The 19,049-nt window shown below is 34.4% G+C and overlaps 1 protein-coding gene across 4 annotated transcripts in view; it reads left to right on the top strand.

Moving 5' to 3' along the window:
* Window positions 1–19,049, top strand: part of FSTL5 (follistatin like 5) — a 780,104-nt gene that overhangs the window by 492,805 nt on the left and 268,250 nt on the right. For all 4 annotated transcript variants that reach the window (NM_001128428.3, NM_001128427.3, XM_011532126.1 and 1 more), the window contains exon 7: window positions 14,702–14,868. In NM_001128428.3, the coding sequence (NP_001121900.1) occupies window positions 14,702–14,868 (167 nt within the window). The remainder of the gene's footprint in view (window positions 1–14,701; window positions 14,869–19,049) is intronic.

The following is a 19,049-nucleotide window of genomic DNA, read 5'->3' as shown; positions in this document are numbered from 1 at the left end:
ACACGTGTGGTGATATGCACAATGTAAAAAAAGGAGCTAAGAATTTGTCAATAAACTTGAAAGTGACAAGAAAAGAAAGTCTCTCTAGACAGAAATGTCTTTAGAGTTGAAAAGGGCAATTCATTAGCTGATTAGAGCTGGACTGCCTTGAGAATAGCCAACTCTCTTTTTTGTAATTTTCTGTTCATCAGTGTTGTGAAGCTTTTGACCTGTGCATTAGAAAGAAGATTCCCAGGCTCACAGCTGACATTCCTTACTAAACCTGATGCTTTTCCCATTGTAAATGAATAAATTGATATTCCAGAATAAACAAAGGTATCCTGTGATTTTGATTAGCTGAGTTAATCCCCAGTAGCCTAATTAATTCTGGATGAATTGTTAAATTTGTTTCTAGATTTGCATAGTTAAGGCCCAGTCTTTGGACCCTGTGAAGAATTGCCAAAATGAACAGCCAGTGTTCAATTCCCCGTATTTTACATCTGTTTGCTGCAAGCTCCTAAAGGGACACTCACTGTAAAACTTCGTAGTGAAGGCAAATTCTCTGGATCCTAGTTTCAGTTTTATCAGTAGTAGCAGTTTGTTATTAGGCAAATAGCAATCTCTTTTAGCTGAATTGTTTTAATTAGGCAAACAATATTAAAGTCTGTTTTAGTCTATAAGGCCCAAATTCTATTACACCACATGGAGGGATTAGTTCATTAATTTAGCTCTGACTGACTGTAATCTAAAACATAGTGAAAAATGTTCAGTTTATTAAAGACAGAGCAAATAATGTGTCATTTGATCGACTCCAACATTAATGTCCTGGGGTTTCCTTGAGGTAAGTTGAAGAAATGCACACAGGTTAATATTCTTCTCTTATATCTGTAATAGCTTTTCAACATGGCACTGAACACATTTGTTAACATATAGGAAATGGGTATTGATTAACTGATTGCTTTATCCTGTCTGACAAATGAAAATTCGCTGTGAACTCTTCTGATTAGATACCTTCCTTCATATGTATATGCAATTTCTCTTCCCAATCTACCACACTGAATTTCGTTAGTAAGTGAAAATACCAAAACTTTAAAAATATATTAAAGATGGTAAGTTAATTCTGCATTTCATGCATTCAATATTTCACAAATTTAGAATATAATGTCTTTTTTTTCAAATCAAACATAGTATTTACACCAATAAATCATACAGGAAAAAATACCTGACGTTTTTTAACATTTAGTTGATATTTTTGTAAGTAAAAGAGTGCTCATCATTATGTTTGATGTCTTTTTTTCTTGTGTACATATATTTAAATACAGCCTTAAGGACACTTAATTTCTATGTAATAATATAACCAAAGTATAAACACCTTATGATCTATCTTACCTAAGGTTTATAAATGGTCTTGGTTTTCCTCTTGTTATTAATTAGTATCTATGAAAAATAAACCAATATTATTTTTTGAATGTAAAATATGGTCATCACCAAACCTGAGGTCATTTAGTTTTCTCCAATTATCATCTAGGATTTTTATAGTTTTTTGTTTTATATTTAAGTCTGTGATGTACTTTTAGTTAGTTTCTCTGAATGTGTAGGGCTTCTGTCTAGTGTCATTTTTTTTTAAATGTGAATGTCCATTTGTTTCAGAACAATTTGTTTAAAATTTTACTTTTCTACCTTGCATTGTCATTTCTCTTTGTCAGAGATCAGTTCACTATATTTATTTGGTTCTATTTCTGGCCTCTCTATTCTGCCCCATTGATCTATTTGTCTATTATTTCACCAGTGCCACACTGCCTTGATTATTGTAGCTTTGTAGCAACTCTTGAAGTCAGGTAGTATCAGTCTTCTAATACTGTTTTTCTCCTTCAACATTGGTTCATCTTGATCTTTTGCCTCTCTAGACACCTCAGGATTCATTTGTTGATATCCACAAAATGACTTGCTGGAATTTTGACTGGGATTGCATTAAATTTAAAGATGGAGTGGAGAAAAACTGATATCTTGATAATACTGAGTTTTTGTTTTCATGAGCATGGATTATCTATTTATTTATTTATTTTTCTTTTTCTTTTATTTTATTTTATTTTTTTTTTTTTTTTGAGACAGAGTCTCACTCTGTCACCCAGGCTGGAGGGCCGTGGCGGAATCTCAGTTCACTGCAACCTCTGCCTCCTGGATTCAAGCAATTCTTCTGCCTCGGCCTCCTGAGCAGCTGGGATTATAGGTACGCACCACCACACCCGGCTAATTTTTGTATTTTTAGTAGAGACGGGGTTTCACCATGTTGACCAGGCTGGTCTTGAACTCCTGACCTCAGGTGATCCACCCACCTCAGCCTCCCAAAGTGCTGGGATTACAGGCGTGAGCCACCGCGCCCAGCCTCTTTATTTACTTCTTTAATAAATTCATCCAAGTTTTAAAATTTTTTATATAAATCTTGCACGTTTTGTTTTCCTCTTATCTTGTTGATGTGATGAGTACATTTAATTGATTTTTAAATGTTGACTCATTCTTGCATACCTGAGACAAACACCAACGTGTCATAGTGTATAATCATTTTCATATGTTGTTGGATTCTATTAGCTAATATTTTGTTGAGAATTTTTGCATCTATGCCTAGAAGAGATATTTTTATGCAGCTTTCTTTTCTTGTAATGCTATTGTCTGGTTTTGGCATTAGGGTAATAATGGTCTCAGAGAATGAGTTAGAAAGTATTTCTTCTGCTATCTTGTGAAAGAGATTGTAGGGGATTGATACAATTTCTCCCTTAAATGTTTGGTAGAATTCATCAGTGAATCCATCTGGGCCTGATAGTTTCTGTTGGGAAGGTGATTAATAAGTAATGTGATTTCTTTCATAAGTATAAACCTATTCAGATTGCCTGTTTCTACTTAAATGAGTTTTAGCAGATTGTGACTTACAAAGAATTGGTCCATTTAACCTAGGTTATCAAATTTGTGGGCACAGAATTTTTTGTGTAACTTTTATTATCCTTTAAATGTCTATGGGATCTGTAATAATACTGTATTTTATTTCTGATATTGGTAATTTTGCCTAGTGTCTTTCTTCTGAGTTACTCTGGTTTGAGGCTTATTGGTTTTATCTTTCAGATAACCAACTTTTGTTTTCATTGATTTTCTGTATTGATTTTTTGTTTTCAATTTTATTTTTTTCATGTTCTAATTTTCATTCTTTCTTTTACCCTGCATACTTTGGATTTAATTTGCTCTTTTTATTTAATTTCCTAAAGTGAAAGCTTAGATGATTGATTTCCAATCTTTCATCTTTGTTAATATATGTATTCAATGCCTGAATCTTTTTAAAATGATTGTTTTCTCCCTTCTCACCTATTAAATGAAGGACTTGAAGTCCTTCCATCTTTGCATTTTTCATCTCTAATGTGTTGAGAATGTTCCCATTCATGATCACAAGATGGCTAATAAAGCTTTAATTATCTCTTCCTCACATGAGATAAATAAACAGGTAGAAAAATAAAAATAAAAATCAGAATCAGTATGTACTTCACAGGGCAGTTGGGAAAGTTAAATGAATCAAATACTTTGAAAAATCCTTAGCAAATGATATGTATTCAGTTAATACTCACAATTATTTTCTTTTACCTATGTCCTACAAGGAGTAACTCACTTGTAATGAGATTTTAAACTTAATATAACAAGTCTTGCAATGTCAATACCTTACTATTCCAACATTATAATGTTACCTACAATGTACTTAGAATGTACTTAGAATGTTAAAGTCATTCTGTTATCTGCATTCTTGAATTTTTCAAAGTCATACAGTTAATATTAACTTGACTACTTTGAGTGGCCACCCAATTCTTTCTGTTAGTACAGTTTTTGTTAGGTCAGGCTTCACATGGAAACTATTCTGCATAAAAAAGAATTGTTTTCCAAGTTGTGTGTGTCACACATATCACTGAATAAATAGACTCAACCTTTATTATTTTAGTTTAAAATTCAACTTTATATAATTCATTTGAAAGATAGAAATTAAATGAAAGTTAACAGAACCCTTGAAAGATAATTGTACATTTATAAGACCACTAAAAGAATGTCAAAGTCATGAATTAAAAAATAAAATGAGATTCACTATTGTCAATATGTAAAACTGCTTGAATTAATATAAAAATATAGTTTTGTCTGTAGTATTGTACTGTCTTTAGTATACAAAAAGAATATAATGAGAATAAAAAACAATATTTCAATTCTGCACAAGAATTTTTTCTGCGTTGTTTTACAGAAAGACTTTCATTGAAAAGTCTTTTACTCATATATTTCTATAACTTCTCAATCTCACTAACAGCATAGGAAGAAACTACCATTTTGCCCTAGTAGCTAAATGCTTTTATTTGTATTTGTGATTATAAGTTCTCCTAATTACTTTCAGAACTTTTGGCAGAAATAATTATTTTCTCAATTTTATATTCAGAACTTTTCTTTCTACTGGCCCCTTTTCCTCAGAATAAACTCCAGATTATTTTATCCTATTTGTTATCATACTGTTCTCTCCCCATATAGGGGTCTTCTCTTTTCTTCTCTGTCCTGTATATTAAAGGTGTCTTAAAAAATTATGTGTTCTTACTTCTGTTATCGCTTTATAACAGCTAAACTCTCCGCCTTTTCTATGTCATAACTCTAAGCTTCTACAAGGGATATGGCTAACTTGGTCCTTGGAAATGGGTTGACCAGAAAAGTTTGCTAGATGAGGCTTCCTTTACTAATGGAGCAAGTTTATGTATACATTTACACTCTTGTTCATGTTATATAAGAATTTATGTTGCTTTGTATTTTTCTCAACAGTTATTCTCATTAGACTTTTAAATTCAAGCCAATTTGAAGGGTTTTGGCTTAAATTTTCATTTTCCTAATTGCATAGATAGTTCAGCAATTTTCAGATTTTTCTTAGCCATATAGACTAATTCATAAAGCACTTTTTCAAGTCTTTTATTGATTTCTTGATTGTTTTGTTAATGAGTTGTTTAAATTTTTCTTAGTGATGTGTAGAATAATTTATTTGAAATATAAGATTTTTGTCAGTTTTGTGGGTGGCAATTATCTTCCGCTTGGTGACTTGTGTTTTTGGTCTTTTAACAATATCTTTTGAGGAATAGATATTTTAAATTTTAATGTTGTCAAAGTTATAAGTCACTTTCTTTATGGAGAATTCATTTGTGTCTTGTTAACAAAATCTTTCTCTACCCAATGTTATGGAAATATTATTTTATATTATCTGGCCTTCTTGAACTATCAAAGTTTACTGTTAAACTTTAACATTCATATTTAAATGCTTTTTCTTCTTCTTCTTCTTCATCTTCTTTTTTATTTTTTTGCTGTCCACTCCTTGCATCTGTGAGTGTTCATCTAGAATCATTTTTCTTCTGTCTGAAGAACATTTTTAGAATTTACTTCAAGGCAAGTTTCCTAGGCATGCATGTTCATTCTTCTGTTTTTTGTAAATATGTTAATTTTATTATAATATTTGTGTATTTCTATAAAATTCTAAGATCAGTTTTTATTTTGTTGCATAATTTCCAATATATCATCTTACTGCTTTCTTGTTTCTACTTTTGCTGATGAAATCAGTTATGTGTCTAACTCTCCTCACCATATAGGCAGGCTGTATCTTTTAATTTGCAAAATTTTAAGATTTCTCTCTGGGCCGGGCGCGGTGGCTCACGCCTGTAATCCCAGCACTTTGGGAGGCCGAGGCGGGGAGATCACGAGGTCAGGAGATCGAGACCATCCTGGCTAACACGGTGAAACCCCATCTCTACTAAAAATACAAAAAATTAGCCAGGCGAGGTAGCGGGCGCCTGTAGTCTGGGGAGGCTGAGGGAGGAGAATGGCGTGAACCTGGGAGGCGGAGCTTGCAGTGAGCTGAGATGGTGCCACTGTACTCCAGCCTGGGTGAAGGAGTGAGACTCTGTCTCAAAATAAAACAACAAAAAAAAGATTTCTCTCTGTCTTTGATATTCTTTAAAAAACAAAAACAAAAACAAAACAAAACTTTTACTTTAGGTTCAGGCGTATATGTGCAGGTTTGTTACATTGGTAAATTGAGTGTTCCTAATTTTCTTTAATTTCATTGTTAAGTGACTGACATGGTTTAGCTGGGTCTGCACCCAAATCTCAACTTTAATTGTATCTCCCAGAATTCCCATGTGTTGTGGGAGGGACCCAGGGGGAGGTAATTGAATCACGGGGGCCGGTCTTTCCCGTGTTATTCTCGTGATAGTGAATAGGTCTCATGAGATCTGACGGGTTTGTCTGGGGTTTCCGCTTTTGCTTCTTCCTCATTTTCTCTTGCGCTGCCATGTAAGAACTGCCTTTCACCTCCCACAATGATTCTGAGGCCTCCCCAGACATGTGGAATTGTAAGTCCAGTTAAACTTCTTTTTATTCCCAGTATCAGTTACATCTTTATCAGCAGCATGAAAACTAACTAATACAGTAAATTGGTACCAGTAGAATGGGGCATTGCTGAAAAGACACCTGAAAATGTGGAAGTGACTTGCACTGGGTATCAGGCAGAGTTTAGAACAGTTTGGAGGTCTCAGACAAAGACAGAAAAATGTGAGAAAGTTTGGAACCTCCTAGAGACTTATTAAATGGCTTTGACAAAAATGCTGATGGTGATATGAACAATAACGTCCAGGCTGAGGTGGTCTCAGATGGAGATGAGGAACTTGTTGGGAACTGGAAAAAAGGTGACTCTTGTTATGTTTTAGCAAAGAGACTGGCAGCATTTTGACCCTGCCCTAGAGATTTGTGAAACTTTGAACTTGGGAGAGATGATTTAGAAAATCTGGCAGAAGAAATTTCTATGCAGCAAAACATTCAAAAGGTGATTTGGGTGCTACTAAAATATTCCATTTTAAAAGGGAAACTGAGCATACAATTTGGAAAATTTGCAGCCTGACTATGCGATAGAAAAGAAAGATCCATTTTCTGGGGAGAAATTCAAGCCAGCTGCAGAAATTTGCATAAGTAGCAGGGAGCATAATGTTTTTCCCAAAGACAATTGGGAAAATGTCTTCAGGCCGTGTCAGAGACCTTCACCGCAGCCCGTCCCATCACAGGGCCAGAGGCCCAGGAGGAACAGGTGGTTTCCTGTGCCAGGCCCTGGGACTCTGTGCTTTGAGCAGCCTAGGGACTTGTTGCTCTGTGTCTCACCGGCTCCAGCTGTGGCTGAAAGGGGCCAATGTACAGCTTGGGCTGTGGATTCAGAGAGTGGAAGCCACAAGCCTTGGCAGTTTCCACGTGGTGTTGAGCCCGTGGGTGCACAGAAGTCAGGAATTGGGATTGGGGAACCTCTGCCTAGATTTTAAAGGCTGTGTGGAAATGCCTGGATGCCCAGGCATAAGTTTGCTGCAGGGGCAGGGCCCTCATGGAGAACTTCTGCTAGGGCACTGTGGAAGGAAAATGTGGGGTTGGAGCCCCCACACAGAGTCTCTACTGGGCCACTGCCTAGTGGAGCTGTAGGAAGAGGGTCACTGTTCTCCAGACCTCAGAATGGTAGCTCCACTGACAGCTTGCAACATGCACCTAGAAAAGCCACAGACATTCAATACCAGCCTGTGAAAGCAGCTGGGAGGGAGGCTGTACCCTGCAATGCCACAGGGGCTGAGCTGACCAAGACCATGGGATCCCACTTCTTGCATCAGATAACCTGGAAGTGAGACCTGGAGTCAAAGGAGATCATTTTGGAGCTTTAAAATGTGACTGGCCCCCTGGATTTTGGACTTTTATGGGCCATGTAACCCCTTTGTTTTGGCCAATATCTCCCTTTTGGAATGGCTCCATTTACCCAATACCTGCATCCACATTGTATCTAGAAAGTAACTAGCTTGTTTTGATTTTAAAGGCTCATAGGAGAAAGGGACTTGCCTTGTCTCAGATGAGACTTTGGACTGTGGACTTTTGGGTTAATACTGAAATAAGACTTTGGGGGACTGTTGGGAAGGCATGATTGGTTTTGAAATGCGAGGACATGAGATTTGGAGAGTCCAGAGGAGGAATGATATGATTTGGCTGTGTCCCTACCCAAATCTCATCTTGAATCCTATCTCCCGGAATTCTCATGTGTTGTAGGAGGGACCCAGGGGAAGGTAACTGAGTCATGGGGGCCGGTCTTTCCTGTGTTATTCTCTTGATAGTGAGTAAGTCTCACGAGATCTGATGGGTTTATCAGGGGTGTCCCTTTGCTTCTTCCTTATTTTTCTCCTTCTGCTGCCATGTAAGAAGTGCCTTTCACCTCCTGCCGTGATTCTGCTGAGGTCTCCCCAGCCTCAGAATCTGTGGAACTGTAAGTCCAATTAAGCCTCTTTTTCTTTCCAGTCTCAGGTATGTCTTTATCATCAGCGTGAAAATGGACTAATACAGTGACTCAGTGTGAATTAGCCTAGTTTTTTGTTCGCTTTGCTTGAAATTTGATGTGCTTCTTCAATCTATTGATTGGTGTCTTTTACATTTATGGAAACCTGTCAGCTGCTATTTGTTCAAATATTACTTCTCCTCCATTTTTTTCTGTTTTCTCATTCTGGGATTCAAAAGAACCCTGGTTTCATTAACCGTATCTGGTTTTGCTTTTTATTCAGTAAAGTTTCATTTAATCTCTTTTCTAGCTTACTATTTCTCTTTTTTGCTGTGTCTAATCTGACCTTAAGTACATACATTTAATTATTAATTTCAGTTAGTATAGCTTTTACTTTTATAATTTCTACTTGATTTTTCACAAACTTGTAATGTTTATAGTTCTATTATTTATGGTAAAAATGTCTAACCTGGAATTTTATTTTCATAAACATAATACATCTTACAATCTTATTGGATTATTTTTAGTGTTATGTGTTATTTCTGCTCCTTCTCATCATGCTGTCTTCTCTTTTGGTGGGCCATATCATAGTTATGGTTTTCTGGGTATTGTAAATACAAAATTGTTTATAACAAGGATTGGATGAATATAATGATATTAACTTACTCCAGAGAGATTTTGTTTAAGACATCTAGGTAACAGCGTGCTGCAGTCCATATATTCAGTTTCAGATCGTGGCACCTTAAAGTCTTAGCACAGAGATGGACACACTCCATTATTTTCCCTATCCCTTATGCCTGGAAAACAATAAGCCACATAAGAACATCTAAGTATTGCTGTTATCGCTTCAAAATGAAAAAAAATCCTCAACAGAATGTGCAATTCCAGGTGTAATCTCATCTCTGAGTTACAGTTCTCTTCAGAATATAGACTGGGCAGTTCCTCATTATTCTGATATTTCTCTAATGCTTTTAAGAATAAATGATTTGTATTTAGTTCATGCTGTTTATGTGTTTGTTTGCTGTGGTGTCACTTCTGTGAATGTATTAGTCCAATTTATCCAGTCCATTGTTACCAAAACAAAGTTTCTAGATCTTTTAAATTTTGTTTTAATTTTATAAGACCAATTATAATAAAAGCTATAATATTTAACAGGTAGACATTTAGTCTCGAAGATTCTAAGCATTTCATCATAATAAATTTATGAATATCTTGGCATGTCTAAATTATGTAAGCATTACCATTTATTTTGAAATCACCTATTTCCTGACAAAATATGCCATCAGAATTTCCTTGTTAGTTAAAAACCTTGTTATTAAGTAATTGTGGTTATCTTATATGAGAATAACTAATTTATTCCATTTACAGTTTCTAAGTGATTTTCTTTTTTTGATCTATTTCTGGCTTAATATTGTATTACTATCTGCATTTAATTAGCAATTTCTTTACTGAAGTAGAGAGAGGTAAAATACCCATTATTAGGAAACATTACTGATAAAATTTATTCTAGGCTTCATTCCTATAATGGAAATGATAGGCATGATGAGGATAATAAGATTATGAGTCTAGTGTTTAAACAGATTTAATGAAATATTTAACGTAAGTCTATAGTTAGAAACATCAAAGATGTCGATATTTAGAAAAGCAGAATCTTGGTTATGAAAAGCTTGCTCTTCTTATGATTTTAAAAGATATCTTTAGTCAAAGTTCCTAAAATCATCCTTTTTAAACTAATGTTTCACAAATATTCATAATATTTCGTTTTTTCTATATGTGTTAAAATCACATAATATGAGGTCATTGAGGAATTGCCATACCGTCTTCCACGATGGTTCAACTAATTTACACTCCCATTGACCCAGAAATCCCATTACAATATTAATTATCCTATTACAATACAATATTAATTATCCTATTACAAAGACACATGCACACGAATTAAAGTTCATTGCAGCACTATTCATAATAGCAAAGACATGGAATCAGCCTAAATCCCCATTAATGATACACTGGATAAACAAAATGTGGTACGTATACACTATGGAATACTATGAAGCCATAAAAAAGAACAAGATCATGTTCTTTGCCAGGACATGGATGGAGCTGGAGACCATAATCCTTAGCGAATTAATGCAGGAACAGAAGACCAAATACCACATATTCTCACTTATAAGTGGGAGCTAAATGATGAGAACACACGGACACATAGATGGGAACAACACACACTGGAGCCTATTAGAGCATGGAGGGTGGGAGGAAGGAGAGGATCAGGAAAAATAACTAATGGGTACTAGGCTTAATACCTGGGTAATGAAATAATCTGTACAACAAATCCCCATGACACACACTGACCTATGTAACAAACCCATACATGTATCCCTGAACTTAAAATAAAACTTAAAAAATATGACATATTTTTACCCAAATTTATATTATTACTGGTAGGACCTAGTTGCTATTGAAATCAATGCCTCATAAATACCCACTAATCACGCTGCAAGTTGTACTAAACTATACTTGTGTCTTTGGCTTCAGATTCTTCTAGCAGACACTTCAAATATTTCATTCCTTTAAAGCAAGCTCTTAGTTTTTCTCTAAGCCAAGTTGTAAAAATGAGAAAGCATAGAGAAGGATTCACAGTGTGAAAGTATTTTACTTGCCTCTTGACTTCCCTAAGTAATCAAAAACAAAAGCTGAATTAAAAAGGTAGTAATAGTCCTCATAATGTGAGATCAGAAAAAAATCATTAAAATTTTGCGTTAAATACTTGAGAGTGCTTCTAAGAGGAGGCAAAGTTTACAGATGAAAGAATTTTTGAAGTGTGTCAAAACACTCGGTACCATATGTTACACTTAGCCTATATGTTTTTACCTTTTGCTAGGGCACCAGGTGACTCTGGACACATGATACATGTTGAGGTCATTAGAGCAGAAAGGATGCAGAGGGGTATAAAATGATTGGTGCTATTTGTTGCAAAGATAGTTTCTGTACATAACTAGCATAAGCTGTTTGCATATAGGATGCTATAAAATGAAACAAGTCATTATTAATGTATATCCAAGAAAACATGGATTAACCATAGTTAATAAAAGATTGTTTTCAATATTTTGTTTCAAAATTCTTGTTTTTAAAGTAGCAACTGTAGTCACTAAAATGTACACACACACTCAGAGGCAATTTACAGTAATAGATATAAAAATCGTTTTTAAATTGGATTACAGCTTGATTCATAGCTGTTGTTTTACATAGTAATGCATTTCTAGAAATAATGATCATGTATCTATAAAACTTATAATTTTGGCATTTTATAAGCATTTCACTCAACATTGAAACATTCTTGATATAATTTAAGAATAAAAATGTTTAACATTTTTAACTTGCAATATTAAATCTGTGCTAATCTGTGCTTCTTAATAACTATCACAAGACAAATAAAGATGGGCATGGCAATTCTGTAGCTAAAATAAATTGTGCTGCTAAATTTATTTCAGGAAAAGCCCATTTGATTTTGAGATGTAACCAGTGAACATAATTGGCTTGGTGTATTTTTTCTATACAACATAGTAGGGAAGAGGTGAAACATACAGCATGAAATATGCAGAAAACAAATCTAAGAAATTATCAAATATATAGTTACTTAATAATAAGTATTACCACGAAATATATTTGAAGTCATTTTAAAATGTAGCCATAACATGAAAAAGTAAGTTTTTCTGTGCATGTTAATATTCCTAGTGAATAGTAATTCTTTATTCTAATTACACATCTTCTAAAAAAATACATTTTAGAAAGATTGCCCACATAATGTTATGCCAAATCTCAGCATTTATTCTAAGATGATTATATTATCTAATTACCATTGTAATATATAACTATAAAAAGCACAACTAATTCAAATGGCCTGGGACCTAATAACAGATGCGGAAGGGTTAGTGAAGAGATTCCAGGGTAACTTAGTAGCAATTGTATTTCTAAATGGCAGAATAGCCAATGTTTACATGCTGTTTTTAGAACCAGATGTCCCATTATCTCCTCTGTAATTTAATGAGGAACCAGAAGCTGAAATTCAGGAATGTAAATGGGAAATTATTAATAATTCTTACGTGATACTGTACATGATGCCATTACTTTTATAATGTTCTCACTTTCTGTAAGTTTGTAACATTAAAAAAGACATGAACACTGTGTATGCAGATTTCAACTTTTAGTGTTTCGAATTAATTGAATAATTTTTAACTTATTTATGTATATACATGTCTCTGTATGAGTGTATATGTGTGTTTATGTTTCTGTGTATGTATGTGTGGTTTTATATGTGTACACATATGTGATATATAACAGAGACATGTCATATGTATATGACAGAATATATATTAATCTAAAACAGACCGAAAATATTCCCTATTTTTTTTTTTTTGAGACGGATTCTCACTGCGACACACAGGCTGGAGTGCAGTGGCATGATCTTGGCTCACTGCAACCTCTGCCTCCCGGGTTCAAGAGATTCTCCTGCCTCAGCCTCCTGAGTAGCAGGGACTACAGGCGTGAGCCACAATGCCTGGCTTTTTTTTCTATTTTTAGTAGAGATGGGGTTTCACCATGTTGGCCAGGCTCGAACTCCTCACTTCAAGTGATCCGCCTGCCTCTGCCTCCCGATGCTGAAATTACAGGCGTGAGCCACCGTGCCTGGCCTTCCCTATGTTCTTATTACTCAGGAAGCATTGAAATAAATGGGAATATGGATAAATCTGATTCAAGGTTAGACTCTTCACACAAAGAAATGGACAAGATGTTTGTTATCCATTTCTAACTGGTTACTGTCTCTGTTTTGGGTGATGTAACAAACCAAACAATGAGTTTGGGCTGAGCCTTTCTCTACTAGGATTTTCCAATTTCAAGAGCATTCCTGTTCACTTTGGACAACACAAAACAATGATAACTTAAATAAGCGTGACTTTAGGTTTAGAGATTAGATGCTACATAACAGAATAGGAGTGTGAGTATATTTCTGTTTCATTTTATCAGATAATGAGGTGTCAGCCAGTGGTGAAAACACCACAGATCACTCAACATTTAACGTGTGTGTGTGTTGAATTATATGTTTAATCCAGGCCTTAATCCAAACACATACGCCATGTTTGGCATTGCAATTTGTGATGATGCCAAAAACCAAATAACTCTTTATTGGATATTTGCATTCTATAAAACTCACTTGTTTAGCATCTCAAGGGGAAGACAGGATTAAGAAATAGAGACAAAGTGGTAGAATGCTGAGAGGGAGGGAGGGGGCTTTCTCAAGAAGAATGCAGCCATTGCACATGATCATATTTATTACAAGTTAGGACACCACTTTCCTCACTCAACCCCAGTGACAAATATCACAACCTTAACAAGGGGACAGAGGACAATTATTTCACTCCTCTACATCGACATTTAAGTTAGAATTCGTGGTGTTTCGTTTGTGGTATTTCTAACGTGGTCAAGACTGTGAGCAAAGTCAAAATACAAGACTCAAATCATAATGTAGAAAACTTCATGTCTGTGAATGTCAGCAGGAAACAAAAGGTCAGTTTTTACATGGATGCAGAATTGGCAGACATTATCCTAGTCATCTCTCATGAAAATTGACAATGATACAGTTGATAATTCTCCTAATTGGTAAGGATTATCTGAAAACCAAAAAGGAAAGCCATATGCAGATTTCAAATAATGTTGTCCAGCAATAGACAGAAATGTGTACTTTGGCAGATTATCAGCAGAAATATGCACACTGGTTAGTTAAAATATGATATGTATCTTTAAGAATCATGAAATAACTATTCAATACCAGTGCGATCTGGTAAAGACAGCTGATGGAATTTTACTTAATTGCTGTTTGGTCAGCGAACTTCAGATTTTTACTTCTTCAACTTCCCAAACAAATCTTATGCCTTCAGAGTCAATAGGTTTCCCAGCAAAAAGATGCATTTTACCGTCTACTGCAAGCCAGCAGTGATCTCACCTAACCTACAGTATAAATCTATCAGTGAATAAACAGCATCATTTTTATTTCAATGCTGATGACACACTACATGTCGATTTGGCAGTTAAGTAATTTATCTCTCTTTTGGGTGCAATCTGCCAGGCTTATTATAACTCTACTTCTGATATTCATTTCATGCTTAATAGTTCTGTGCCTCATGAGGATGCTTGTCAATCAATTAAATTGAAATGTCATTCTGACCTTTTATTGGAAACAATTTTCTCTTTTTTCATTTCATCACAAGCTTTTTTCCCTTTTATTCAAATTAAAAGCCTTAATTACTAGTATTCAGAAATTTTATACTATTAGCCTTACAAAACTAAATGCTCATCAACATTACTGACACTTCATCTTTACAGAAGTGATCCAGTTGAGTCTGCCAGAAGATCAGAAACTAAGCATCACTGCAGCAACTGTGGGACAAAGTGCTGTTCTGAGCTGTGCCATTCAAGGAACCCTGAGACCTCCCATTATCTGGAAAAGGAACAATATTATTCTAAATAATTTAGATTTGGAAGACATCAATGTGAGTACATAAATATAGTTGCTTTATAATATATATATTTCATGTGATATACTCCAGACTTTGTGATGTCAGGGGAGCTTAATGAATATTGGATGCAGAGTAAAAGAGAATTATTGGGACATTGCTATATCTAATCTACGGAATGAGAGGTGCACTATAGGTCCTTTGGAATTTTCCAAATCATTTGTATTGGTATAGCAAAATGGTTGTGTGGCAATGTATTGGTGAGAAAATAAATTGGTTCAAAATCTTTACAGGGAATATCTATTAAGTTTTAATATGTAAATATTCTTATTGTATAAATCCACATGTAGGATTTATTCCTATTAATATGCCTATATGCGTGTTCAAGTACATATGTATGAAATTGTTCACCTTCACAATTTTGTAAAAGGAAAAATTAAAATGCCATCAATAGGAAATGTGATGGTATGGATGAGTGTATGTTTGCATGTAATAGGAATCTATAGCCATTAGAAATCAGTGAGGGGGATTTATATGTGCTAACATGAAAATATAATATTTATATGTGTTTATATGAAAATATCCTATTATCTTACAGAACGCTTCTGTGCATCTAAAAATATATGTTGTTAATTTATAGAACATTTCTAAAACTATTTATATGAAATAATTCACAGTGTTGGTTCTAAGGATAAGGATAGGATCAGGATAGAATTAGACTTACTTCTAATAGATATTCTTTTTTACTTTTTGCATTTCTAACATGTGCATATATTAATTTTCAATAAGAAAGGATTTTAAAAACTAATACTTCACATGGTTACTTACCAATAATGTTCTAATACCTATGAAACACATTCTAGAAAGATCACAGATTTGTATGACTGGCATCACGTGGCTTTCGCTGAAATAATTACAGTAAGTACAAGAATGTAATACTCTGATTGGTCAATCTGGGGTCATGTGTTCACTGGACCAATAGGGACTATACCAACTCCCATGAAGTCATCTATGCTATTACTGAGTAAGAGCTGGATAGTTTCTCAATAAATGAGTAGGTCAAGAAAAAAAAAAGCTCTCAGAAGCCTTTGTACTCTACTACTCTTGGTTAATCATCTCTGAAAATAATGTTTGCCTGTCAAAGATCTGACTGTCAGAATATCTATAATTATCAATAATATCTATTTAATGCCCTTATGGTTGAGAAACAGCCTATAGCTTGTGAAAAATCAAAAGACAATAAAGACACTTTTTGCTTTCAACATGTCATAATGTATTCGAAATAAGAAATATTAATCAAAGCAAAAAAATATTTTCCTAGCATGAAAGAACATGTTTTTCTACTCAGGCTCATTTTTAGAAATTTGGAATTTAAATTCAGTTCAATAAAGTACAGCTTCAAAAGTGCAACCAAAACAGAAACAAACTCAAGGGCAATCACCTGTTCCTTCTATGCTACCTGTTTAGAGTGAGCATCAAAAAGTGAACATTATCCTACAAGATGAAAAGTAAAAATTGTGTGCTTATGGGGTATCTGTGGAAATGAGGTGGGGCAATCCCTTGCTTTAGTGATTTTGAAGTTTTATGTTCTCTTTCATATTTTTTATCCTCATTCAAGAAAGCCATCACCTTTCCTCTTAATCTTGGCTGCTTCATACAGAACCCCTAAAACACAGGCCTGAGATGCAAGCCCAAACTCCTATTGGTTACATTTTCCTAATGTTTTTGTTTAATGTCCCAGAATATATCAAAAACATAGAGCTTCTTCAATTTTTATCTTTTTTTATTTTGATAGAGCTTTTCTAAGTTTGCATATATGTGGAAACTTTTCTTAAAGACTATCTGGAGAATAATGCTTAATTCTCTAAGATGCCAAGAACATTGAGCACATATCTCAGGTGCATTTAAGATACTTTGAGAGACAAAGCCCTTGACAGCATCATTGTGGATTTGCATTATGGGTTGTCATTTCTATACTTTATCTTTTCTTTTTTTTACTGCCATCCATACTCTTAAGCTTTCCACTACTGTTTTTAATAGGCCCAGTGTATTTGAGGGTGCTGTGGTCTGAAAACCATCATTGTAAACTCATTTAAATTATTTCAAGAATAATTTGAAAGTATATGCTATGATTGATACTCTCTGGACAACTTGCAAAAGTGGACACATTCTTGTACATGGATCTGAGAAATTCTTTTGTTTCCATCCTAATACTTCACTCTGTTTCAGAAATTCAAAATTTTTGGAAAAATGATCACTGGATATGTCAGGTCTCTAAAATATACATAAATATAAGATAAGTTCTTGCACAAATACACTTTATTGGATAAAATTATTTTGTATAAACTTTATAGAACAGATACATTTTGAGAATTTTAAAAATGTTTTCAATATTTAGAAAGTTTCAGTTTCATTTTGAGCCATATTTAGTTAAGCTGAACAAACATTCCTAATCTATAGTGTACATAGAACTATCAGCTTCTCAAAATTAAAATAGCAGAGTGCAAAGATATCTTTCAAAGAGGAATATTTATTCAAATTTCCAATATATTCCTGGTGTTTTTGTTTAAGTACTATAGTTTCAACAGTCAAATTATGAAAATACATTTTGATGCATTTATCGATATGACTATGTAATGTGACAAATGCAAAATATCAGTTAAACTGTCTTTCATTTGATACTTATTTATGCTTAAAATTTGCTAATAAGGACTTTACTGTGTAAATAAACAACATATATATATTTATTTATTCATTTTTCAGCACTGTCTAATGGATATCTGATGTGTTTTCTGGTTACCCAACACCTTTTGAACAGCCTGTCAATGTTATGGCAATTCTTACCCCATTATTTTTGCTGGCTAAGTTGGAAATCAAAAATCTTACTTGTTTAGCCCTCCTTGTAGTTAGGGAGCAGATACGTAAATAAGGCTGTAACACAGAAACCAATAAACAAGATTCCATTTCATGAATAAGAACAGGAAAATGCAGGTGTTCTACAAAATTTATTCTCTCCACCATTCTTCCTGTGACAGAGGATACTATTTTCAAAGACAACGGTGACAAAAGTTCTGGAGTTTTTCAGTGTTTAGCTACAATGGGGTCTCCAATAGGCCAATTTCAGTATGTGCCTTGGGCATCTTTGCTGGCATTTTAGACCCCAGGCGTGATACTCTGCTCTCTTGAATGTTCTACAAGCTTCCTAATAGTCTTTATTAAATTTCTTGCCTGCTTAAAACTACCTGGAATGGGTTCTGTTGTCTGCCACTAAGAATGTTGTCTAATTAATTTGGGGGTCTAATTACATTAAGAAATGTCTATAATTCCATTTGCATAAGATGAGCTTTTCATTGTTAGATATGGATTTCTGATGTGTTGAAAGACTTTCAAAAGGGTCATATGTGAGTCAGTGTATATACCCTAGAAGTACATTATCTATTTTTACAAAAGTGAATTTAATTCCCATTAAATTATATAAAATTAAATTAATAAGTGCCTTTCATGTCAAAGGAAAGCAATGACAATTTGCAATATCCTTTCTGACTTTTGAATATGTATATTAGGTAGGATTAAATGTATAGTCACCTAGATAACACATAAATACATTTTAATTGCGAACAATTACAATAATATAGATGTATTTTAAAAACATAACTGCCCTTCATTTTTGTATCCCCTCATTTTTATATTTGCTATATTTAATTAAAATATATTTTTATTTAATTCTTGAATGCAGAAGAAATCCCGTGTGTATACATGTACTCTTTTCATGCATTGCATATATAATTTTATTTCTTTAATAGGATGGGTTAATATTACCTCATGATCTCATTACCTCATTATCTCACTGGCCCTAAGAACAACTCTATGAAGCAGGGAATCTTATGCCCATTTACATGGGTGAATTTTTGTTTGCTTGTTTGTTTGTCCTATAGATGGTCTGGTTTGTTGTACAGGCTGGTGTGTAGTGGTAGAATCACAGCTCACTGTAGCCTTGAACTCCTGGGCTCAAGCGATCCTACCACCTCAACCTCCCAAGTAGCTAGGACTACAGATGTGAGCCACCGCACCTAACTATTTTTTAAATTTTTTGTAGAGATGGGGTTTCTGGGCTGGCCAGGCTGGTCTCGAAATCCTAGCCTCAAGTGATCCTCCTGCTTTGGCCTCTCAAAGCTCTGGGTTTACAGGCATGATTCACCATGTCCAGCCTGAAAATT

This window comes from Homo sapiens, chromosome 4, assembly GCF_000001405.40.
Source record: "Homo sapiens chromosome 4, GRCh38.p14 Primary Assembly".
Lineage (NCBI taxonomy): Eukaryota > Metazoa > Chordata > Mammalia > Primates > Hominidae > Homo > Homo sapiens.
This window is presented reverse-complemented; position numbering and strand designations above follow the sequence as displayed.